The sequence below is a fragment of the Homo sapiens genome, chromosome 16, assembly GCF_000001405.40.
Source record: "Homo sapiens chromosome 16, GRCh38.p14 Primary Assembly".
NCBI lineage: Eukaryota > Metazoa > Chordata > Mammalia > Primates > Hominidae > Homo > Homo sapiens.
The window spans coordinates 68975318-69001460 of NC_000016.10; the positions used below are offsets into that span (position 1 = coordinate 68975318).

Sequence of the window (26143 nt, forward strand, 5' to 3'; positions counted from 1 at the left end):
CTGACAATAGTAGTTAAGGGATAGGCTCTAGACTTACACTGCCTCACTTCAAATCCTGAACTGCCGCGCTTTTTTTTTTTTCATGGTAGAGTTGGGGTCTCACTATGTTTTCAGGCTAGTCTCAAACTCGTGGACTCAAGCAATCCTCCCACCTCAGCCTCCCAAAGTGCTGGGATTATAAGCATGAGCCATTCTGCATCTTATTGGCTGTGTGATCAGGGAAATGTTTCTTTCTTTTCTTTTTTTTTTGTTTTTTTCAAGACAGGGTCTTACTCAGTCACCCAGGCTGGAGAGCAGTGGTGCATTCATGGCTTACTGCAGCCTGAACCTCCTGGACTCAAGTTATCCTCCCTCCTCAGCCTCCCACATAGCTGGGACTACAGGCATATGCCACCATGCCCAGTTAATTTTCTATTTTTTGTAGAGGCAAGGTCTCACTATGTTGCCCAGGCTGGTCTCAAACTCCTGGGCTCAAGCAATCCTCCTGTCTCTGCCTCCCAAAGTGCTGGGATTACAGGTGTGCGCCATCGTGCCCAGCTGAGGGGAATGTTTCTTAACCTTGGGTGCCTGAGTGTTCTAATGTGTGAAATGATGATATTATGGGTTTGGTTTTTGTTGTTGTTGTTGTTATTTTTGCAACAGTGTCTCCCTCTGTTGCCCACATTGGAGTTCATTGGCACGGTCATGGCTCACTGCAGCCTTGACCTCTTACGCTCAAGGTATCCTTCTACTTCAGCCTCTTGAATAGCTGGGACTAGAGGTACATGCCACCACACCTGGCTAATTTTTGTATTTTTGTAGAGATGGGGTTTTACCATGTTGCCCAGCCTGGTCTTGAACTCCTGGCCTCAAGCAGTCTTCCCACCTTGGCTTCACAAAGTGCTGAGATTACAGGCATGAGCCGCTGCACCCAGCCAGAATGAGGATATTAATAACACTTAACTCATAGGTCTGTTGTAAAGATTAAATAAGGTGATTCTTACAGTGTTATTTGGCATACAATAAGGGCTCAGTAAAATTTTATTTTTGCCTACGCAAAAAAGATTTAAACATTTTTTAAAGATTAAAAATGAAGGAAAACAAATATTTTTTGCTGTTTATTGAGTGCTCATATGAAGCTAGGAGGTGGGACCCTAGGGAACAAGGACAAAGAAAACAATAGTTCATTCTGAAGAGAGAGGTTAAATTAAGATGAATTTCTCCATAAGCCAGCAAGTACACTTTGAATATTTTTATACTGGGCTATATAACATAGAATTGAGAGAAGATTCATTTATTTAACCTGTGCTCCATAGACTTAACCATTAGCTGTCACACTGAATATCACTAGAAGCCTTAAAATAAGGCAAATCAATCATACAGGTGAGAGCCAGTGGTGTACAGTATCCATTTGAGCCAGCTAGCGGCCATATTGAATTTTGAGAATGAGGTTCCGTTTTAGGGCTGTGTTCTTGTCATGCATGGCCTATATCAGATTGTGTTATAAAGTATAGCTGTTGGTGGTTAATATTTGGCTTAATAACAGTGCCACACTTCTTTTATTCTTTAAGTTATATCAGCACTTCTTAGGTACTGCTGTATTTGTCCTTGGCTTTTTAGTAATTCCATTATATACTCACTAGCCTATTATCTAAGGCAGAAAAAGAAGATATAATCTTAACTTCAGCTTGGGCAATTTGTCTGTGAGCTATAGTAAAACTTGTAAATTTTACTCTTTATCTGGTAGGGGAAGATTTTGGAGAACAAAGTGGAGGTGGGGTATCTTTTTGCCACTTGCATCAGGAGATCACACTGAATCCCTCCTTCATCAGCACTTCAGAGGATTTATAGAAATTCCATATAGCCATGCACTGTTTGTATGGACATAGCCCTTAATTTTCCTAATTTCTAGGTGACTGTTCTGGCTAAGGATGATAGAACCTAGGTCTCCAACCACTTAAATCCTTGTATCAGTGAAAGGAGAATTACTTGAGAGTGAAATTTATTTTGTTTTTGTTTTTTTTTTTCTTTTCTGACCAATGGATTCATGTCACAGAGAGTGAAATTTATTTATTTATTTATTTAATTTTTTTTGTTTTTTTGAGATGGAGTCTTAGCCAGGCGTGGTGGCTCACGCCTGTAATCCCAGCACTTTGGGAGGCCAAGGCGGGCGGATCATGAGACCGAGACGACGATCAAGAGATCGAGACCATCCTGGCCAACATGGTGAAACCCTGTCTCTACTAAAAATACAAAATTAGCTGGGCGTGGTGGCACGTGCTTGTAGTCCCAGCTACTCAGGAGGCTGAGGCAGGAGAATCTCTTGAACCCGGGAGGCAGAGGTTGCAGTGAGCTGGGATTTCACCACTGCAACGCCAGCCTGGCAACAGAGCCAGATTCCGTCTCAAAAAAAAAAAGAGATGGAGTCACCCAGACTGGAGTCCAGTGGTGCCATCTTAGCTCACTGCAGCCTCTGCCTCCTGGGTTCAAGCGATTCTCCTGCCTCAGCCTCCCGAGTAGCTGGGACCACAGGCCCACACCACCACGCCCGGCTAATTTTTGTATTTTTAGTAGAGACAGGGTTTCACCATGTTGGACAGGCCGGTCTCGAACTCCTGACCTCAGGTGATCCGCCTGCCTTGGCCTCCCACAGTGCTTGAATTACAGGTGTGAGCCACTGCACCCAGCTGAGAGTGAAATTTAAAAATACATTTTTTTCTAAGAAGAAAGATGAACTTTCTATATTTGCCTTAGTTCTGAATTTGGATCTAAAACATGCCAGACAAGTACACCATTATAATAAATCATTCTCTCATAGTAGGTGTGAAGGGTGTACCACTGGGATTATCAGAGCTGAGAAGAATATAAACCATACATAGACAACATCAACGTAACATGTATTTTCTCTGGTAGACCGCTACCTTTGGGATGATAAACACTAAAAGTACATATTTCAGAGTCCCCATTGGCCAGTCCAAATCATTTCCTGGGGTGAAAGTGGAGGTGGGGATGAAAGGCTGGATAGAGTTGAGGTGAGGCCTTACTCCTCCTTACATAGTCTTATAATTAGCCCAATTTCCAAAACAGCCTTCTGGCATTTCAAAGCAAATTCCACTAATTCTCAAAGTTCCCTTCTTTCTGTAGCCTACTCTTCAGAGTGTCCAACTGTAAACATAGCCTTAGCTTTAACTGCTAGTTTCTGTTTCACATCATCAACTTGTCCTGGTGCATAGATGAAGTGGTGTGTTGAAATCCTTTGAATAACATTAAAGCCCAATTTGACAACATAGCCAATATTCTTTGTTTTCTAGTGTTGTGGAAATGCTGTGAATAGCCACTTGGTAAAGCTTCTCTAATAAGTCCCCTAGTTCCCTCAGCCTAGGCCTTGCTCTCTCCCCACCCCTACCTCTTCTCTGCAGTGGTGGGAGTTGGTGGGAGAATGCGGCCCACCCGTGGGAGCAGGGTGCAGTACACTATGTTACCTCTCCACATCATGCTAGTTCCCTAGCCACACCTACTTGTCTTCCTGCCACTAGATCATAGTGCAAAATCAGCAGGAGCTTTTTTTCTTTCCATTAAAAAAAAATTGAGGTAATACATATATACAGTAAAGTATATAAAGTATATGATTTTTTTTTTTTTTTTTGAGACAGGGTCTCGTTCTGTTGCCCAGGCTGGAATGCAGTGGTGCGATCATGGCTTACTGCATCCTTGGCCTGTCAGTCTGATCTGCCTCCCTCAGCTTCCCAAGTAGCTAGGACCACAGGTGTGCGCCACCATACCTGGCTATTTATTAAATTTTTTATAGAGATGGGGGTCTCGCTGTGTTCCCCAGGCTGATCCCGACCCCCTGGGCTCAAGTGATCCTCCCACCTCCACCTCCCAGTGTGCTGAGATTAAGGCGTAAACCACAGCACCCAGCCTGAAGTATATGAATTTTTTTTTTTTCTTGAGACGGAGTCTTGCTCTGTTATCCAGGCCGGAGTGCAGTGGTGTGATCTTGGCTCACTGCAACCTCCACTTCCCAGGTTCAAGGGATTCTCCAGCCTCAGCCTCCCGAGTAGCTGGGACTACAGGCGCGTGCCACTGCGTCCAACTAATTTTTGTATTTTTAGTAGAGATGGGGTTTCATCATGTTGGCCAGGCTGGTCGCAAGCTCCTGACCTCAGGTGATCCACCCACCTCAGCCTCCCAAAGTGCTGGGATTACAGGCGTGAGCCACTGCGCCGGGCCCAGGAATATTTTTGAAGATATTTGTTGCTAAAATGTCTTCCAGAGAAGTTGTGCCAGTTTATATTATCAATGTTTGTCTGTACCCTCAAAAGTATGATATATTCTATGTATTATCATTTTTAAAAATCTTTATCAAGAAGATATATAAAGGAATGCTATCTTGTTTTTATTTCCATTTATTCAATTGATAAGGTTAAATATTTTCCATATATTGACTAGTTAAGATTCCGTGTATGTGGAGGGTGTGCATGTGTGTGTGAGAATTACATATTCTAGTCCGTTGTTTTTTCATTAGGGTATCAATTTTGTTTTTTGACTTTTTTTTTTTTTTTTGTAGTGGAGTCTCGCTCTGTCACCCAGGCTGGAGTGCAGTGGCTCAATCTCAGCTCACTTCAACGTCCGGCTGCCAGGTTCAAACAATTCTCTGCCTCAGCCTCCTGAGTAGCTGGGACTACAGATGTGTGCCACCATGCCCGGCTAATTTTTTTTGGTATTTTTAGTAGAGACGGGGTTTCACCATGCTGGCCAGGCTGGTCTCGAACTCCTGACCTCGTGATCTGCCCGCCTCGGCCTCCCAAAGTGCTGGGATTACAGGCGTGAGCCACCACGCCCTGCCCTTGTTTTTTGATTTTTAAAAGTTTTATGTATTTAAAGATCTTGAACCATTGACATTTATATCATAAATATTTTCTTTTAGTTTTATTCATATTTTCTTTTTCATTTTGTTTTTGACACACAGAAGTTTTTAATGTCAATGAAGGTAAATCTATCTTTTACCTTATGATTTTTCTCTTATATAGAAAACAGCTTTCCCAAACCAGGATTACATGAGTATGAATCTATCTGTCTGTCATTCTCTCTCTCTCTCTCTCTCTCTCTCTATATATATATATATATATATATATATTTTTTTTTTTTTTTTTGAGATAGGGTCTTGCTATGTTGCCCAGGCTGGGCTTGAACTCCTGGGCTCAAGCAGTCCTCCTGCCTTAGCCCCATGATTAGCTGGGATTATGCACACGAGCCACTGCACCTATAGTTCCAGCTACTCAGGACTCCGAGGTGGGAGGATCTCTTGAGCCCAGGGGTTTGAGGTTGTTATGAGTAGCTGGAACTTTAGGTGCGTGCCACCACACCCAGCAAGGCTTTATATATTTTTATGTCTACTTTTCAATGTAGAAAATATTGTGGAAGGAGGCTAGGCGAGGTGGCTCACCTCAGCACTTTGGGAGGCCGAGGTGGGCGGATCACAAGATCAGGAGACCAGACCATCCTGTCTAACACCGTGAAACCCCGTCTCTGCTAAAAATACAAAATTAGCCAGGCATAGTGGCGGGCGCCTGTAGTGCCAGCTACTCGGGAAGCTGACGCAGGAGAATCTCTTGAATCTGGAGGCGGAGGTTGCAATGAGCCGAGATCACGCCACTGCACTACAGCCTGGTCAACAGAGTGAGACTCCATCTCAAAAAAAAAAGAATTGTGGAAAGATTTTGGTTCAGTCTCTTTTATTTAAGGAACAATTTAGGAGTTTTTGTACTCCTAGAAATTTAATCTTAACACGTTGTTAAATTACCAATCATTCCAAATGTTTTTCCATCTGTTTCCTCTTATGTGGTCCAATGTCAATGTTGACAATAACTTGTGGATTGTTACATGTCATTGCATTTCTTTTTTCTTTTCCTTTTTTTTTTTTTTTTTTTTTGCGGAGTCTTGCTCTGTTGCCCAGGCTGGAGTATAGTGGTGTGGTCTCAGCTCATTGCAACCTCTGCCTTCCGGGTTCAAGCAATTCTCCTGCCTCAGCCCCCTGAGTAGCTGGGATTACAGGCATGCACCACGACACCTGGCTAATTTTTGTATTTTTAGTAGAGACGGGTTTTTGCCATGTTGGCTAGGCTGGTCTCGACCTCCTGACCTCAGGTGATCCACCTGCCTCGGCCTCCAAAAATGCTGGAATTACAGGCGTGAGCCACTGCACCCAGCCATTGCATTTCTTAAAACTTCTCTTAAAATATAACATATTTTCTGTTTAGTAATATGTTCCTGATATTACTATTACTGTGCCCAAGATAATGAATTGGTCATTGGGATGTTACTTGGCAAATTGAATTAAATCAAAAGGGATTATTAAATGCATCTTTTTGGGTATTTCCTTTTGCGATTGCCTAGAGAATTAATCTGATCTGCTGTAGACCACACTCCTTTCTCACATATGCCTGATGCCTGATTTGGAATGCTCCAGAATTCAAAACGTTTTGAGCACTGACATGACACACTCAAAGGAAATGCTCATTGGAGCATTTTAGATTTTAGGATTAGGGATGCTCAACCAGTATATATTCTGCAAATACTCCAAACTCTAAAAAAATTCAAAATCTGAAAAACCCCAAAGCATTTCTGTCCCAAGTGTTTCAGATAAGAGATACTCAACCTATGTCTTCTCTTTCTTTGGCAATGTCTGGAGACACTTTTGGTTGTTAGAACTGGCTGGGGAGGGGATTATTATGGCATGTAGTAGACGCCCAGGATACTACCAGGCATCATAAAATGCACAGGATGGCCACCTACAACAAAGAAGATGTGGCTCAAAATGGCAGTAAGGCCCTTGTTGAAACACCTTGTTCTAGAACCCACGTGGGCCATTCTGTTTCTCTCAAATGTGTTAAATCCAGGGCTGCCACATATAATTATGCAGGTTGTTCACTGCTGTATAAACTCCTAGGGGCCTCATTATATGAATGGCATGCCCTGGAGTTGTATAATATACAACCTATGTAGTCATCCTGCTGGCCCTAACTAAATTCTAGCCTATCTCATACCTTTTTTTTAGACAGAGTCTCACTTTGTCGCCCAGGCTGGAGTGCAGTGGTGCAATCTTGGCTCACTGCAACCTCCTGGGTTCAAGCGATTCTCCTGCTTCAGTCTCCTGAGTAGCTGGGATTACAGGTGCCTGCCACCACGCCCCGCTAATTTTTGTATTTTTAGTAAAGACAGGGTTTCACCATGTTGGCCAGGCTGGTCTCGAACTCCTCACATCAGATGATCTACCCACCTTGGCCTCCCAAAGTGCTGGGATTACAGGCATGAGCCACCATGCCCTGGCCTTTTTTTTTTTTTTTTTTTTTTGTAGAGACAGGGGCTCACTATGTTGCCCAGGCTGGTCTCGAACTCCTGGGCTCAAGCAATCCTCCCACCTCGGCCTCCCAAAGTGTTGGGATTACAGGCATGAGCCACGGTGCCCAGTCCTCTATTTCACCTCTATTAGAACCTTCGTATATATGCCTCTTACCCTTTATTTCCTTCCTTTTAATAGACCATAAAATGAAGTATATTTTTAAATTATCCTTTGTATTTAGATAATATTTCATGTTCCTTGCTAATATTTATTTCTCCTCCAAAGGGATCAGAAGAGAAAATGAAGTGTTTTTTTTTTAAATACTTGGTTGCTCCTGAATCACTTCAGGAAGCCTCAGATTTGCAGGTCTTGTTATTTCTTTTTTTTTATTTTGATTTTTTTTAGAGACCAGTACCCAGACTGGTCTCAAACTCCTGGCCTCAAATGATCCTCCTGCCTTGGCTGCTCAAAGTACTGGAACTACAGGCGTGAGCCACCGCACTGGGCTGAAGTTACATCTTCTTTGTATGTGGCTCTCATTTGGATCCCCAGTTTGGGTCGGAAATCCTTGGTGGAAAAACAATTTATGTCCACCTCTGCCCATAGTAACACCCAAATACTCTCTGAATTCTAATTTAGTTTCCTGTTTTTGTCAATTTCTAAGTCATATAAATTCCTGGGTTATTTGGTTGCTCTTTCTAATGCTCAAAATTCTTTATCTTGAAAACACTTATTTTTTTTTTCTTAATCCTGGGGATGGGACATTAATGTAGTCCAGTTCAGAAACATTAATTGAGTAGCCACTGAGTGGTTGGGTTCTGTGACTGTAGCTGGAAACAGGAGCATGAAAAAGCAATGGTCTCTTCCTGCAAGGAGCTTATCATTTAGAGGGAGAGGTCAACTCATAGACAAATTGCATTGGTAAGAAGCCCGGCCCATGGAGGGAGAGGCCTGTATGGAGTATTGTGAGGCACAGAAGAAATGGTCATGTCTGTCCTTTTTCTTCTCCAAACCCTGCAGTTGAGTGTGGCAGTGTGCTACAAGGCTACATCCGTTCCTCATCATCATCACAGCACAACAGGTCCGTTTTTGAAAAAATAGCTTTTGTAGGGCCGGGCGCGGTGGCTCATGCCTGTAATCCCAGCACTTTGGGAGGCCGAGGCGGGCGGATCATGAGGTCAGGAGATCAAGACCATCCTGGCTAACACGGTGAAACCCCATCTCTAATAAAAATACAAAAAATTAGCCAGTCGTGTTGGCGGGTGCCTGTTGTCCCAGCTACTCGGGAGGCTGAGGCAGGAGAATGGTGTGAACCTGGGAGGCAGAGGTTGCAGTGAGCCGAGATCACGCCACTGCTCTCCAGCCTGGGCGACAGAGCAAGACTCCGTCTCAAAAAGAAAAAAAAAAAAAAAAGAAAAATAGCTTTTGTATGATAGTTTTCAGAGATTTCCATTTCACAGCACAGTCTTAAATTCAGGTGAAAAGGGAGGTTGGAAGTGTGAATAATTGGATACCAGTCTGGGAGTTTAGCATTCATGGATTTTGGCAGCAATAAACAGCAGTCAAGTGTTAGAGCTCACATATTTTTAAAGAAGAAATTTTCATCAAAACTCAGGATCAAATGAAATGCTCCCTGCTGAGTCTGCCTAGGCTGGCATCAGTGTAGTTCAATTCAACAAACATTTATATTAATATAAATGGAAATACTAATATGGCCAGAATTGAAGGTTGAAATCCAGACTAAGTAACTATTTTTCCTTTCCCGTTTCTCTTTTTCTTTCTCACATCAATTTTTTGATGGCTATAACTTATTACTGATATAATAAGGGGAAGGGAAAAGTCTATAGATTGAACTATACTTCCTACTTATATTAGACAGTTTGGATTTTTTTTTTTCAAGCTAGGATCTTGCTCTGTTGCCCAGGCTAGAGTGCAGTGGTGCCATCACTGGCTCACTAGAGCTTCCACCTCCTGGCCTCAAGCCATCATCCCACCTCAGCCTCCCGAGTAGCTAGGACTGTAGGCATGCATCACCATGCCCAGCTAATTTTTTTATTTTTTGTAGATGTGGGGTCTCACTATGTTGCCCAGGCTGTTCTCAAACTCCTGAGCTCAAGTGATCTGCCTGTGTCAGCCTCTCAAAGTGTTGGGATCACAGATGTGAACCACCACACCTGGCCCAGAAAAATATTTAAAAGTATGAAAAAGAAAATAATCACCTATAATTTCACTTTGGAGTAACTACTCTTTGTTTACATTTTGATGTATTTTCTTCAAGCTTTTTTTTTCTTTCTCAGAATTGTAATTACACTGTATGTATATATACTGCTTTTTTTTTTCTTGGTTAACATTATTTGTAAGTACTTTCCTATGTCATTAAATATTTCTTTGTTGTTGTTAGTTTTTTTTTAAATAGAAATGGTGTGTCACTATGTTGCCCAGGCTGGACTCCAACACCTGGGCTCAAGTGATCCTCCTGCCTCGGCCTCCCAAAGTGTTAGGATTACAGGCGTGAACTACCATGCCTGGCCTATTTCTTGAAAATATAATATTGACTGTGTTATAATCTAATTATGTAACTACCTGAATTTATTATACTTTTATTTAATTATCTCTGGGAACATATTGTTTAATTAGGTTGTTTCCAGTTTATTACTGATTATGACAAGTGTTCTGTTGATTATTCTTACATATAACTCCTTTTGATGATTCTTTGGTTCTTTCCTTGGGATTGGTTTCTACAAGGGAAGTTATTAGGTCAACATATACTTCTTGATATTTAGCACCGGCGGGTGCAGTGACTCATGCCTGTAATCCTAGCACTTCGAGAGGCTGAGGCAGGCAGGTCACTTGAGCCCAGGAGTTCAAGACCAGCCTGGACAACATGACGAAACCCCATCTCTACACAAAAATACAAAAATTAGCTGGGGGTGTGGTGGCAGGCACCTATGGTCCTAGCTACTCAGGAGGCTGAGGTGGGAAGATCACCTGAGCCCGGGAGGTCAAGGCTGCAGTGAGCCATGATTGTGCCACTGTACTCCAGCCTAGGTGACAGAGTGAGACCCTGTCTCAAAAAACACATTTTTTAAATTTAATTTTAAAAGATACTTAGTGCCAAGCTGTCCTCCAGAAATGTACAGTCTTTTCAGCAGTGAATTAAACTGCTAATATCTCATAGAGAAAAACTATTTCATGGCTTCAGACTAAATGTTTTTCGGGTTTTGTTTTGCCTTTTTTCTTTCTCTTCTGACACCTTTGGTATAAACTAAATGTTTAACCCTGACCAGCCATCTCCAAAATGTGCAGCTTTGCTCCCAGAATCAAGGAACCTGTCAGGGGAGGTGGGTGGGTGGAAGAGGGGAGAGAGGGACTGAGGGATACATGACTCAGTGTGAACCCTTTGCTTCCCTGGAAGAGCAACTCAGAGCTGGTGGTGTCATCATGACGTACAAAGAACAGTACTTCTTAATTATTTTTAGAGGCAGAATGTAGCCTTGTAATCAGCAAGCTAAGACAAGTTCCAGTTTACTCTAGGCCAGAGACTTCTAAAAGTCAGAACAAAAATAGCCAGATTCATGTTGCTCCATCTGAAGAGTTTGCTTTTAGGAGAGATCAGGAATTCATATTTTGAATGAGGACTGAGGGGTGAGAATTAAGTCTCTGATCTCTTCTGTCGTATGCCACGGTAAGTAGAGTGACCCCCAGGAATCCTGAGGCAAAGCAGCTCCTCAGATTACTCTATATTCTAGGAAAAGGGTGAGTCCTAGGCTTTACGGGGTGTTTCCGGCTGTAAAACACCCTGATTCAATGTGCTTTGTCAACTCTTTTCCATGTCACCTGCTTGATTTTTGTGTTTTAGTTTAGCAATCACTTTACCCCTTCAGTTCATCCAAGTGATGAGTATCACATGGCCCCAGGTCTCTAATGGTTCATGCAGCTCCAGAATGAAGCCATAATCCAATTTTAGAAAACGTATCATCTGGGCCGGGCGCAGTGGCTCACACCTGTAATCCCAGCACTTTGGGAGGCCCAGGTGGCAGATCACTTGAGGTCAGGAGTTCAAGACCTGCCTGGCCAATGTGGTGAAACCCGGTCTCTACTAGAAATACAAAAATTAGCCAAGAGTGATGGCACACACCTGTAATCCCAGCTACTCAGGAGGCTGAGGCAGGAGAATTGCTTGAACCTGGGAGGCAGAGGGTGCAGTGAGCCAGGATTGCGCCACTGCACTCCAGCCTGGGGATAGAGTGAGACCCCTATAATCTGTCTAGAGTGGAGAAAATTCAGCCCCAAATTCTGCTCTGACAGATACCTTCTTCCAGCCAGTTGGAGAAAACAAAGGAAAACTGAATAATTGGATTTATCTAGCAGGCTACGGTGAGTTCCAATTGGCTTCACCTGGTAATTAAGATGAGGGAGAAAGTTTTAAACAGCTGCATATTTTATAGGCTGGCCATACCACAATTGACATCATTTATTCAACCATTTTTCTGTGGATGGGTATCCATTTTTTTCTATTTTTTTTCTATGATATACAGCTCTGCAATATAAATTCTCATCTATGTGTGCTAATAAAAATATATTTTTATATGTGTATATCTTGTATACATGTACATGTTAAAGTGCTAGAACCTTTATTTCTTTTGGGTTGATATTCACCAAAGTGGAATTACTGGGTCATAGGCTATTTAAATTTTAAATTTTGTTGCTGTTGTTGTTGCTGTTGTTGTTGTTGTTTGGGGTTTTTGAGACAGTCTTGGTCTGTCACCCAGGCTGGCATGCAGTAGCATGATCTCGGCTCACTGCAGCCTCTGCCTCCTGGATTCAAGCAATTCTCATGCCTCAGCCTTCCGAGTGGCTGGGACTACAGGCATGTGCCACCATGCCCGGCCAACTTTTGCATTTTTAGTAGAGACAGTGTTTTGCCCTGTTGCCCAGGCTGGTCTCGAACTCCTGGGCTCAAGGGATCTGCCTACCTTGGCTGAATTATAGTGCTGGAATTATAGGCATGAGCCACTGCACCCAGCCTTTAAATTGTTTATATACTAACAGATCTTTTCCTAAAATTTTAAGTGACATGGGGCTTTTTAAGCCATCTGCTATGTCTTTTGTCAAGTAAAGAAAAATATCTTTTGAAAACTGTGTTTGTTCAAAGTGAATGGATGAAGAAAGTCCTTTGATATTATTTTGTTGTTTGTCCTGAGTGCATTGTGGGAAAAGAATTTGTTTTTGTGGGTTTCATTTGTATTTTCCTGGTGACTAATTATACTGAGCAACTTTTCATATGCTTATTTTCTATTCATGTATCTCTTTTGTGAAGTAACTGTTGAGATCTTTTTGCATTTTTTAATTGGGCTAATTATCTTCTTATTACTGAGTTGCGAGGGTTCTTTATATGTAGTGGAACCTCTCTTGACCCCACATCTCCTTCTAACTGTCACCCTAGTTATCTGGTCTCCTCCAGAGTAAAATTCTTGGAAAAGCTGTCTGCCTTGCTGCCTCCACTTTCTCCCTCCCCATTCTCTTCCCAGGACACTCTAATGGGTCTTTCATCCCCAACATTCCTTTATCTGCCTAAATATTGACAAGCCAGTGATCAGTTATTCCTCCTCATATGACTCGACTTTCCAGTAGCACTTGATATGTTTGACCACCCCTGCTTTTTGAAACGCCTTCTTCTCCAGGCCTTCCTGACAATTGACTTGCCTTTTTCTCCTGCCGCCTCAGAGCTGCTTTTCTTCAGTTTTCTTTGCTGGCTCCTCCCCCACTAACAGATCTCTCAAGTTTGGAGTCCCCCAGGGCTCTGCCCTTGGTCCTCTTCTCTCTTCCATGCACATAGTGCTACTCAAGACATTAACTTTTATGAAGCCCATTTTATAAGTGTTTTTAATAGAAAAAAATCCTAAGAAATTTTTGTTTACCCATTTTCTCCCATTTTTTCTTCTAGAATGTTAATGATCTTAGCTTTTATGTTTCAGTCTATGACCTGTTTCAATTTTTCAATTTAATTTTTGTGTTTGGTGAATAGTTAGAGTTTAAGTTCTCTCTCTCTTTTTTTTTTTTTTTTTTTTTGAGACAGGGTCTCATTTGCTCTGTCTCCCAGGCTGAAGTACAGTGTTACAATCACAGCTCACTGCAGCCTGAAACTCCAGGGCTCAAGTGGTCCTCCCACCCAGTCTCCCAAGTAGCTAGGACTACAGGTGTGTGCCACCACGTACAGCTAATTTGTTTTTTGGTTGTGGGGGGACCGGATGTCACTCTGTCTTCCAGGCTAGAGTGCAAAGCCATGATCACAGCTCACTGCACCTCGACCTCGCAGCCTCAGGTGATCCTCCCTCTTCAGTTTCCCAAGTATGGGACTACAGGTGCATGCCAACACACCTGGCTAATTTTTGTATATTTTGTGGGAATGGGTTTTCACCATGTTGCCCAGCTGGTCTTGAACTCCTGGGCACAAGTGATCTGCCCACCTTGGCCTCCCAAAGTGCTAGGATTACAGGCATGAGCTACCACGCCCAGCCCATGATTCTTAATCTCCATTTTTGGCTTAATAGCTCTACTTCTGTTTAATTTTTAAATTTTCATTCTAGGACTTTACACATATATTAGATTTTTTTGTTCTTGTTCTTGTTCTACAAGAACAGGCTCTGTTCAATTTTTTTTTTTCAATCTTTTTCTCTCTCTTTTTCAGATTTAATAGTTTCAACTGATCTATCTTTAGGTACATGGACTCTTTCCTCTGTCATTGCCATTTCACTGTTTAACTCATCCAGTGAATATTTTATTTTCGATATTGTATTTTGCATTTCTAGAATTTGTAGTTGGTCCCTTTCTCTTTTTTTGTTGAGATTTCCTCTCTTTTTGTTCATTAGAAGTGTATTTTCCTTTATTTCATTAAGCATAGTTATAATAGCTGCTTTAAAATCCTTATCTGATAACTAAAATATCTGGGTCATTTCAGTGTTGGCCACTGTTGATTGTCTTTTTCCTTGAAAATGGTTTATATTTTCACATAATTAGAAGTTTTGGATTCTGTACTAGACATTATGAATATTATGTTGCAGAAACTGTGGTTTCTGATATAATACCCTGAACAGTGTTAAATTTTTGTTTCAACAGGCAATTAACGTAGGCTGAAATGGCAAACTTTGTCATGCCTGTGGTGGGCAGCAGCTCAAATCTCAGTTCAGTTCTTTTAGCCTTAGCTGCTGCTTTGAGTCTACTCTATGCATGGTGAATTTTAGCACATTTTTCTGAGATCCAAGAGATAAAATAGGGGACTGTATTCACCCACCTGAATCTTTATCTTATTCATGATCTTCGTCCTGCTTGTTTTCTGCTTTGGAGTACATAAAATTAAAAGAGATGAAATCTTATTCTCTCTCTTTTTCTCTCTTTCTCGCTCTGTGTGTGTGTGACTCTTGCTCTGTCACTCAGGCTGGAGTGCAGTGGTGCGATCACAGCTCAATGCAGCCTCAAACTCCTGGCTCAAGTGATCCTCCCACCTCAGCCTCTTGAGTAGCTGAGATCACAGGCATGCACCATTACACCTGGCGTATTAGTCTGTTCTCCCGCTGCTAATAAAGACATACCCGAGACTGGGTAATTTATAAAGAAAAAGAGGTTTAATGGACTGACAGTTCCACATTGCTGGGGAGGCCTCACAATTATGGCAGAAGGCAAGGAGGAGCAAAGCCACATCTTGCCACATGGTGGCAGGTAAAGAGAGAATGAGAACCAAGCGACAGGGGTTTCCCTTTATCAGATCTCATGAGACTTACTTATTACCACGAGAACAGTATGGGGGAAACCGCCCCCATGATTCAGTTATCTCCCACCAGCTCCATCCCACAACAATTGGGAATTATGGGAGCTACAACTCAAGATGAGATTTGGTTGGGGACACAGCCAAACCATATTACCTGGCTAATTTGTTTGTATATTTCGTAGAGACAGGGTCTCACTATGTTGCCCAGGCTGATCTCAAACCCCTGGACTCAAGTGATCCTCCCACCTCAGCTTCCCAAAGTGCTGAGATTATAGGCATGAGCCACCATGCCTGGCTACCATTCTCATTCATCATTGAACTCAGACTAGGTTCCATGGCCTGGCTTAGCTCAGGGAGTCAAGATCATGAAAGGATACATATGCTGTGTTAATGGATTTGGAGTTTATGTTGATTTTATAAAATGGGAGCCATTGAAAGACTTTAAGGAGGAAAGAAGTAATAATAATTATATTCTGGCAAAATTACTTCGGTCACTCTGTGAAGGATGACTTAGAATGGGACAAGACTTGAAGCAGAGAGACCTATTAGGATGTTGTTGGGGCAAGAGATGATGGTAGATCTCGAACAAAGGCTTACACGTGATAAAGACAGAAAAAAGATGTCCCCAGATAGGAAAGAAAGCATAAGAACAAAACAGAAGTGGGATGTATATGGTGAGAATGAAGAACTGAGACTTAACCTGTCCCTCTGTTGAGGCTGTGTTGGGTACCTTGGAGAAGAAAGGCTAGATAGACAGGGTAGAGCCATACCACAGACAGCTCTGAGAGCTGAGCAGAGGAGTCTAGACTTGCCATGATGGCCATTTGGGAATCACTGTAGATTCTTAAAGGAAACAGCATGATGATAAATGTATAGGTATGTGGTTGGCAGGGACATGAAGGATGCTGAAGAAAGGAGAGCCTGGGCTGGGCATGATGGCTCATGCCTGTAATACCAGCACTTAGGGAGGCTGAGGTGGGTGGATCACTTGAGGTCAGGAGTTCAAGACCAGCCTGGCCAACATGGTGAAACCCTGCCTCTACTAAAAATAGAAAAAGCTACTAAAAATAGAAAAGGAAAAATTAGCCAGGTGTGGTGGTGCACTCCTGTAATCCTAACTACTCAGGAGGCTGAGGTGGGAGGATTGCTTAAACCTAGGAGGGAGAGGTTGCAGTGAGCCAAGATCGCACCACTGTACTCTCCAGCCTAGGCGACAGAGTGAGATTTCATCGATAAATAAATAAATAAAAATACAAAAATTAGATGGGCATAGTGGCATGCATCTGTAATCCCAGCTACTCGGGAGGCTGAGGCAGAAGAATCACTTGAACCCGATTAAAGGGAGGCAGAGGTTGCAGTGAGCCAAGATCGTGCCACTGCACTCCAGCCCGGGTGACAGAGCAAGACTGTCTCGCAAAATAAAAATACAAAAGAAAGGAGAGCCTGGAGCCGGAGAGAAAGCTGGGAGGTGGTTGTGGTATTCCTTGACACAAAGAGATGAGGATTTTGGTTAGAGGAATGGCTGTGAAAATGGTGAGAAAATGTGAATACTATAGGCAATTCAGAGGAATAAATGAGAGACCATCATCCTTTTTTTTTTAAACATTTAGTGAAAACGGGGTTATAATCCACCCAGCAACTATTCTCACAGAACTATTGAGAGGCTCAAATAAAGTAATATATATGAAATCGCTTATAAATATATGAGTATCATCACAGAGATCTATTTATCACTATATTTAGTCTTCTAGTAGGGTTGCCAGATATCAAAGTGGGGAGGTGGGACCATCTACAGTGGCAGCCACTGGGCAGGTAAATAAGAATTCGACATATGGACTTAACTTTGAATGCATTTTAGTTTTCTTTAACAGAAGTGCTATCTGTGACCCTGGAGTCATAACTAACTGGGTTTTGATCTCGACTCTAACCTTTAGTAGCATGGACAAGTTATATAACTTCTTTGTTCCTTATCTGTAAAGTGGGGATAATTCTATTAAATATCTGATAGGATGGTAATGAAATTAAATAAGATAATTTATGTTAAGTGTTCAGAACCAGTGTCTTTCATGGTAAGGGGTGAATAAATGTTGGTTGCTATTTTTTTGTTGTTATTTTTGAATGAATACCTCATATTGCTGCATTATGCCAAGGCAAAAGCCAACCCTAGTAAGTAGCCCTTCAGTTGAGTAAAATGTGCGATCATCCTGTTCTACTCCAGAGAAAAATCCAAGTACATGTATTTGTTTCTGTGACAGCCGTTCCTTGTTTGCTTTTCAACAGAGATTCTTTGGAAATTACTCATCTTTCCAAGTCATTCTTATGTCCTTTTTCCCTCTCAAATCAAGCTTTGTATTCTATGTTAAAAAAGCAGAAATCTGGCCGGGCACGGTGGCTCACACCTGTAATCCCAGCACTTTAGGAGGCCAAGGCAGGTGGACCACCTGAGGTCAGGAGTTCAAGACCAGTTTGACCAATATAGTGAAACCCCGTCTCTACTAGAAATACAAAAATTAGCTGGGCGTGGTGGCTCGCGCCTGTAGTCCCAACTACTCTGGAGGCTGAGGCAGGAGAATCGCTTGAATCCGGAAGGCGTAGGTTGCAGTGAGCCAAGATGCGCCATTGCACTCCAGCCCGGGTGACAGAGGGAGACTCTGTCTCAAAAAAAAAAGAAAAGAAAAAAGAAAAATCTTATCTTTTATAATTAGATCTCTTTAAATAGATTCAAGTGGATATTGCAGTTCTTTTCTAAAAATCACCAGCTGCAGGAATCACTGGCTTAGGAGACACAAGATGTCATTGGCAAGGGGTTCTTTCTTTAAAGATAACAACATAATTATGCTTAGATGTTTCAGCATTTTATTCTGCTGTTATTTTTATTTTCAGTGTCTTCATACTTTTGTCTTCTCATCTCACTATTCTAATTCAGAATAAATTAAAGCATTCATTTGGATTCTAATTCAATATATGTATGAGAAAGAACACAGAATAATGAAGCACCTGATTTTCTCTCTGCAAGTTTTGAAATAGATTTTTGCATTCATTTTGACTTACGGACTTGCAAGAGAGTAAACCAACAGTGTAACTGAAATACAGTGTTCCTTGTAGGAAGACAATGTTACTTAATTTTCCTCTCCATGGCTTGATATAGTAGGAATTGATTCATAGCACTTGAGGGATGGATGATCTGTTAATAATTTAAACATGAAGTTATAGTCTCAATCCACAGGCTTCCTGATTTGTGTTTGTCAATATTACGAGGCTAACCAACTCTTGGTCATGCTTTAATGAGTTTGAACTTTTATATATCTAATTAAATTAATTAAATCACTGGAATAGTTTTAATACTTTCATGATTACAGAATTGTAAAGACAGTCTCCGTCATTTAAAATATCTAGGATTTTTTTCTTCTTTCAGTTTTTAAAATAAGTTACCACAAACCTAGAATTTTTCCTTCCTGATTATTACATTTCTGGACTTTGTTTTAATTTCACCCTTCAAGGAAGTTTCTGGAGGCACTTACTGTCTGGAGCACACTTTTCAGGAGAACCAATCTGTTTGTCTTGTTGGTAACACACTAGGGTAGAGTCAGTTATTGTAGATTTTCCTCATAGGGTAACTTTGTGTAAACTGAAAGCTTATGCACTGATTAAGCCAATCTTGGAGTTCAATGAGCTGTTGAGATGGAATGAGTAATCTAGTTAATACGTAACTATAGAAGTCCTGGCATCTCCTGTTTCAAATTGTCTATGTTTCTGTGTTATTTTAGTTCATTGAGTTGCCAAAAATCCAGTAATACAAAGCATTTCCTGTACATTGTTTTACTCTGAAAGATATTTATTTATGGATTTTATTTGCACATCACTCTGTTTTCTGAAGAAACAGAAAGAAAACATCCTTTTGCAAGTCTAAGTGTAAAGTAGGGCCTCTGTGCCTTTTTTCAGTGCCCCTCACTTACCTCTTTTTTTCTTCCCCTCTCCCATTTAAAACTTCCCTCTACAGGTCCTTACCCAGGTTTGACCATCTCTAGAAAGTAATCAAATTTCAGACATTGCCCTACCTTCAAATCTTTCTCTTATTCTTTCCCAGCCTATAAGAAGCAGGTAGCAGATATACTAATATTTGCTAAGAGGTGATGGCAGCCTCCTATTGTGTGGCCATTCCTGGGATTTTTTTTTTTTTTTAAAGACTGGTTCTTGCTCTGTTACCCAGGCTGGAGTGCAGTGGCACTATCATGGCTCACTGCAGTCTCTACCTCCTGGGCTCAAACAATCCTCCCACTTGAGCCTCCCAAGTAGCTGGGACCATAGGCGCACACCACCACGTCCAGCTAATTTAAAAAAAAAAATTTTTTTTTTGTAGAGATGGGGTTTCACCATGTTGCCCACGCTGATCTCAAACTCCTGGGCTCAAGCAATTCTCCCGCCTCAGCCTCCCAAAATGTTGGGATTACAGGAATAAGCCACGGCACCCAGCTTATTTTGTATTTTCAATAAGGAGACTATTTAATGCAAAGGAATAAAGTTTGAATGATTAAATATAATCTGAGGCAATACAATTTGCTAATAGAAGAAGAATTTGAAGATAAGAAGATCTCTCTGTCTCTTTAAAACATTCTTGGTAGGTTACTTACACCAACAATAGTTCCACTATCAAGTTTCTTTTTGTTTAATAAGTTGTCCCACAGGGATCTTCTCATGGTCCCAATCTAAGCCTGTCAAAGTCTATTTACTTATAATTTGCATCTAAATCATTCCTACTTGTGTGGTCTGTGTGTGACTGGAAAGGGAAAGCTTAAGAGCCCCTGAAATCTTTTCTAACCCACTCCTAGTTCAGGGTCACCTCTTGGTTATATTACCTTACAGAGGAAATGAATGAAGAAAGCAGCAGATCAACAATTAGCCTTAGGGAGAAAAATGGGTCCTGACATGTAGACACCAGTAGGGGGAAATCTATCCAGGGACTACCCAGCATTTTTGCCCAGTGACTATTGTGACCTGTGTGCCTGGCAAGCCTCATCAAGACCAGAAGATGGCTTTGGCTCCAACACTCTGCAGTGCTCTAATATGTGCATCCATATAGGGCTTTAACAGCTTTCACAAGGCCATTATCAGTCATCCTTTATGGTTAGGAAATCGGAAGTGTTCCGTTCTTTCCACTTTTGAAAGTGGGAAAGAAGAGGGGAATTTTTTCTCCTCTCCAGACTAGAATGAATAGGATTCCAGCCCTTAACCAAGACTACTCAGTGCCAATTCTGGTGTTTGCCCATGCTGGAACTTATTTCCATTGTACCCTGTTATTTATGCACCATTTTAAGACTAAGTCACTGGCTTCTCTTCTACCCATGCCTTACGAAGTTAAACAAAGAAAGATGAAAATTGCAAGGACCTTGAAATGTCAGAGATGTGGGGCAATCAGTTGGCTGCATTTTAGTCCTTTGTTTTAGGACTTAAAAGGGATGAGCCCCTTCTAAATTTTACTTTCTTATTTGTGATACAGGGTTAATAATATTTTGTTCTACCTATCTCAGATTCTTGTGAGGTTCAAACAAGATAATAGACATATAAGTATTTTGCAGATAAAGAGGCTTACAAATGCACACAGCATTGTTTTATCCCACAGCATTTTATGTCTGGGCTGCACTGTAGCTGCGTACATTATATTGACTAAGATCCCTCTTCTGTTCATAAAGGGCTATGTGAGGAGGGAAACTGAAGTCAGAACAGAGATGATTTCCCCAGAGCTGCAGGGGAAATTCAAGGCTGAAAAGTAACTGTTGTTAATAGATCAAAATTTACCTACGAATTTTTTAATGATGAATTTCATCAAAAATTAATTGCATTTAAATTATTTAATTCTCTAAATGGCTTTTGGAGAGGAAATCCTGCCTGTCAGGATCTGCCATGTCAATCTAATTTCCTTTGGACCTTGACAGAAATTGTAAACTGTGTCGACTCTGGCTCACATGTGGCAATAAATTGTATTCATGAAATGTTACAAGAAACCAGTGATTCTTCTATTGTATTTCTTAACAGTAGTGAGGTAGAGTTCTAGGCCCTGAAATGCAGGGAAAAAAGAGTAGATGTTAGCGAGCACAAAAAAGGGGCACATGAACAGAGTCAGATCTATATTTTGTCTCCTGTTTCCTCATTGACTGGATCAACAAGATGTTTCTGCTGAGGGCATGTGGCTCTCCAGGGTGTCATCCCTAGAGATCCATATACTTTAGTACCCAAGTAAATGGCATCCAAGACAGGAGGAAAAGTAGTTTTTCTGGATCCCTTTTTTCAGTAACTGATTTAAGGAGGTCAAATATGTATTGCATCCTTTGACCATTTTATGCTTTTACCTTTTTTCTCCCCAAAATATTTAATATCAAACCGAAAGTACACAGAGTACAGTCCTGGAGAAAGGAAGAGCATACTTCAACTAGTTAGATTACAGGGAGGATTTAAACACTCTAATTGAGATCCTGGAGCCTGGAAAGAAGATTAAAATTCAAAGATACACAGAAAAAGACTCCAGTTCTTCATCTCTACTTCAACCTGGTCCATAGAGGAAATGAAATAAAGAACAAAAGAGATTTGGATTGGGCGAAACAAAAAGGTTGGAGCACAAAGGTTTTTAACTTCTGGCATAAGATCTTAACATCTGTGGGTTAATGTTTGTCAAATGTGATTTGATGCAGCTATACATGGAAACTGTGGAATATTGGACCAAATGGCCCACTGTGTTTAAGTGTCACAGGGTGAATCCCAAAATTGGGGTTCAGCCTAGGCGGCCATGAGGGTTCTTGGCTTCACTGAGGAAGGAATTCAAGAGTGAGCCAACAGAGTAAAGTGAGATCAAATTTATTAAGAAAAGTAAAGGAATAAAAGGATGGCTACTCCATAGGCAGAGCAGCAGCACAGACTACTTGACTGACTATACTTACGGTTATTTCTTGATTGTATTCTGAACAGGGATGGATTATTCATGAGTTTTCCAGTAAAGGATTGGGGAGTTCTGGAACTAAGGATTCCTCTCCTTTTTAGACCACATAGGGTAATGTCTGGACATTGCTATGGCATTTATAGACTGTCATGGTACTGGTGGGAGTTTCTTTTAGCATGCTAATGCATTATAATCAGTGTATAATGAGCAGTGAGGATGACCAGAGGTCACTTTCATTACCATTTTCTTTTTGGTGGGTTTTAGCCGGCTTCTTTACCACATCTCATTTTATCAGTGGGGTCTTTGTGACCTGTATCTTGTGAAACCAGTCCCACTGACCTCTTATCTCATCCTGTGACTAAGAATGCCTAACCTCCTGGGAATGCAGCCCAGCAGGTCTCATCCTCATCTAGCACCTATTCAAGATGGAGTCACTCTGGTTAGAACACCTCTGACATATTTCCTCCCTCCCTTTTACAAGGGCACCCTTAATCCTAAGGGTTGTAAAGGGATGAAGATCCATCTTCTGTAACTTCTTCAGGCTGAACAGGGGCAATGATATTCTTACCTAATTATTAGGGTCTCTTGTATTCAAGGTAGAGAGGAGCTCAATGAGAAAGTGTTGGTATGGTGAGGGCCATTCATAACTGAGTCTCAACAGAAGGTATAATCTGGAAGATTCCTAAGTGTTCAATTTAAGAAAATGTTGAGTAGGCTTATCCTGCATTCCTACACAAAGAGTACAATGACAATATATTCCACAGTAGTAAAGCAAAATAAGTGAAATTATCTCAAGTAAACTAAATAAGAAGGCTTTTCATGAACTGGGCAGTTGTAACCAAGCTAATATGAGGTCATGCCCAGAATTAGAATACTCATTCAGATTTTCACATTACCCATCCCTATTGTTTCTTCTGAGCAGCAGCCAGAGATCACTGGTTGGTTCACAGGAGTAAGCAGGATCAGTCTAAATTGCAGAAAAAATTCAAAAACAATGGATGTGATTAGAACCTAATAACAGGTATACCATAGTTTTTGAATCATAATTTTTCTCTCTCCAGTCTCCATTTTTACTAAAGACAAATCATGGTAGAACCAGTTTGTTTGCAGGCCAGGCACGGTGGCTCATGCCTGTAATCCCAGCGCTTTGGGAGGCTGAGGCGGGCAGATCACAAGGTGAGGAGTTCGAGACCAGCCTGGCCAACATAGTGAAACCCTGTCTCTACTAAAAATACAAGACATTAGCCAGATGTGGTGGTGGACAACTGTAGTCCCAGCTACTTGGGAGGCTGAGGCAGGAGAATTGCTTGAACCTGGAAGGCGGAGGTTGCAGTGGGCCAAGATTGCGCCACTGCGCTCCAGCCTGGGTGACAGAGTGAGACTCCATCTCAAAAAAAAAAAAAAACCAGTTTGTTTGCAAAATAAGTTTTAGTCTTATTAAACTTGGCCTGATCATGTATATAAAGTGCAGCAAGAATAATTATTTGCCATAGAAACTCCTTTTTAAATTGTCTTTGATGAAACATTGTTCCATAGGAATCCCAGACTTTATTGATTGATTGAGACAAGTCTCACTCTGTCACCCAGGCTGGAGTGCAGTGGCACAATCTTGGCTCACTGCAGCCTCAACATCCCAGGTTCAGGCAGTTCTCCCACCTCAGCCTCTTGAGTAGCTGGGACTACAGGTGTGCACCACCACACCTGGCTAATTTTTGTATTTTTTAGAAAAGACAGGGTTTTGCCATGTTGCCCAGGCTGATCTTGAACTCCTGAGCTCAGGTGATCTCCCACCTCGGCTTCCCAATGTGCTAGGATTACAGGCATGAGCTACCATGCCCAGCCTTCTCAGACTTGTATAAGCCTTGAGTCCAGCCATGAATTCATCTGTGCCTGTAGATACTTGTATGAGTTGGGTAAATTCCTCTTTTCTTGAGATCCCAAGATAACCTGTATCTCCTGGGCCTGTCAGAAAGTGACATTTTTTACTTACTGCAGGTCAGGAACTCTGTACAGGGACTGTGTAGTTAAGGTATGAGGTCAGTTTTCCTAAGGGGCTTTTATTGGCTCTATAAGTCAACTTTGATCCCTTAAACAGTCTGTTTATATTTGAAAGCATGCCATTCCAGTCAAAACCTTGGTAAAATAACCAGTGTCTCTAGTTGTGTCCCATTACAAAAGAAAACAGATTCTTATTACACTTATTCAAATAACAACATTGCCATAAGTTAACAATACTCACAAATAATTTCCAAATTCTGGAGAAATCAGATAGAGAGAAAGAAACATGCTCTATATTTTGTTTTTGGACAAAAACTTTGTTTTATACTCCTTAGAGGAGTATACTTTACTCAATTGTTGAAAGCTATAAATAGCTCAAAAGATTTTCTGACTCTGAAAAACAAAACAGAAAGGATCAGCAGTGTTTTAAGCAAAAAATCATAAAAAGATTATTTTAGTATTTTATTAGTTCAATCTATGCAATTAATTCCTGTTTTGCTCAATATCTATAAACACATTAGCTTTCCAAGAGAGTCTTGAAAGTTTTTTTCTCTGTTTTAGTGGCACACTTTCCAAAGTTATCAGAGATGTATATTGAAGAGTGCTTGTCAGAGTCCTGTAGCTGATTACAAACCATCTTTTGTAGCGGATCAAAACAAGACAATTGTCTGTGGATGACAAAAAGTCTTAGGGCAGCCACAGTCAAAGAGGCGATTCGCCAGGAAATTTGGTTACCTTTGTGGCAGAAAATAATTTAGCATAACAATTATAATTATTACTGATAATGTACACTAAGTCATATCAGAATTATAGAAGTTTCACATAATTTTGGAACACATACCAGTAACACATTTATACAAATACAGCCCAAAGAAACTCAAATACCATTGTATATTTAACAGTGCTTCCTGTATGCTTTTAATATACCAAATATGTCATTTTTTGACTTCAGGGGACCTAATATCTAAAAGGAATAATTGGGTCAGAAAAAGACTTAATTTAGAATTTGATTTTGGGAACTTGTCAAATATCAAAGGCTTAAAACACTTGATATTATAAAATAGAATCACTGGTAGTCTATTTAGCTAAAATAACTCAAAGATTTCAAAAAGACAAAAACTTTTACTCATTGATAAAGGGAAGACTTAGCTTTCCAGACAAGATCCAATAAAAACAAAATGAGGCCAACTGAATCTCTTTTCTCTCCTCTTTTTTTCCTATAGTTTATTTTAAAGGCAAACAAAAATCTTTCTTTTTTTTTTCTTTTTTTTGAGACAGGCTGTCACTCTCTCACCCAGGCTGGAGTGCAGTGGCATAATCTCAGCTCACTGCAACCTCTGCCTCCCACGTTCAGGCAATACTCCTGCCTCAGCCTCCTGAGTAGCTGGGATTACAAGTGCATGCCACCACACCTGGCTACTTTTTTGTATTTTTAGTAGAGACGGGGCTTCACCATGTGGCCAGGCTGGTCTTGAAATCCTGACCTCAAGTGATCTGCCCACCTTGGCCTCCCAAAGTGCTGGGATTACAGGCATGAGCCACCAAGCCTGACCAATATCCTTTTAATTTTAGTCAACTTGCTCCCACACAGTTCTTTACAAGGTTAAATTTTCAGAAACCTTCTACAACTTGTTTAAGCCTTTAGTTTTATCCTATATTTTTAAATTTAAAATGATTCTTACACCCTCTAAATTAGACAAAATTACTTTATTTTTTGAAGAAAAAACACATTCTCATGCCTTTTTACCAAAAACATGTAATTTTAATTTCTTTAATGTAAGAAATTTTAATTACATACCAGGTGCAGAGCCTAGGATACAGGACAGAATGGCCTATAAAGTCTGACTCTTTCCAGCACAGTTAGGGGGAAATGGCTCACCCTCTATGTTCCCAGGCCTTATCCTGAATTAAATGGCTCTAACGCAGGTAAGTTGAACAATTACCAAAAGTCATAGAAATAGTTTATGACCTTAAAGCATTTAGCAAACCAAATTTTGAAGACATTTTTATTTTATTTTACCAGTAATCTTTAAACTCCCTTTATTTTTAAAAGATTATTAGTCATGCACACTAAAAGGCACTAAAGTTTTTATTTTTCTAACAAAGTATTTAAGTTTTATTT

At 40.9% G+C, this 26143-nt stretch overlaps 1 protein-coding gene across 4 annotated transcripts in view, besides 3 other annotated features; it reads left to right on the top strand.

The window, feature by feature from the left end:
- TANGO6 (transport and golgi organization 6 homolog) overlaps nucleotides 1–26143 on the top strand; it is a 241652-nt gene that overhangs the window by 131787 nt on the left and 83722 nt on the right. The window lies entirely within an intron of this gene.
- Nucleotides 2405–2905: an enhancer, noted in NCBI's record as "H3K4me1 hESC enhancer chr16:69011625-69012125 (GRCh37/hg19 assembly coordinates)". NCBI's record gives its function as "activates a minimal SCP1, AML or CMV promoter by ChIP-STARR-seq in primed H9 embryonic stem cells {active_cell/tissue: H9 hESC(primed)}" and the evidence as "EXISTENCE:reporter gene assay evidence [ECO:0000049][PMID:30033119]".
- Nucleotides 13125–13626: an enhancer, noted in NCBI's record as "H3K27ac hESC enhancer chr16:69022345-69022846 (GRCh37/hg19 assembly coordinates)". NCBI's record gives its function as "activates a minimal SCP1, AML or CMV promoter by ChIP-STARR-seq in primed H9 embryonic stem cells {active_cell/tissue: H9 hESC(primed)}" and the evidence as "EXISTENCE:reporter gene assay evidence [ECO:0000049][PMID:30033119]".
- Nucleotides 13627–14126: an enhancer, noted in NCBI's record as "H3K27ac hESC enhancer chr16:69022847-69023346 (GRCh37/hg19 assembly coordinates)". NCBI's record gives its function as "activates a minimal SCP1, AML or CMV promoter by ChIP-STARR-seq in primed H9 embryonic stem cells {active_cell/tissue: H9 hESC(primed)}" and the evidence as "EXISTENCE:reporter gene assay evidence [ECO:0000049][PMID:30033119]".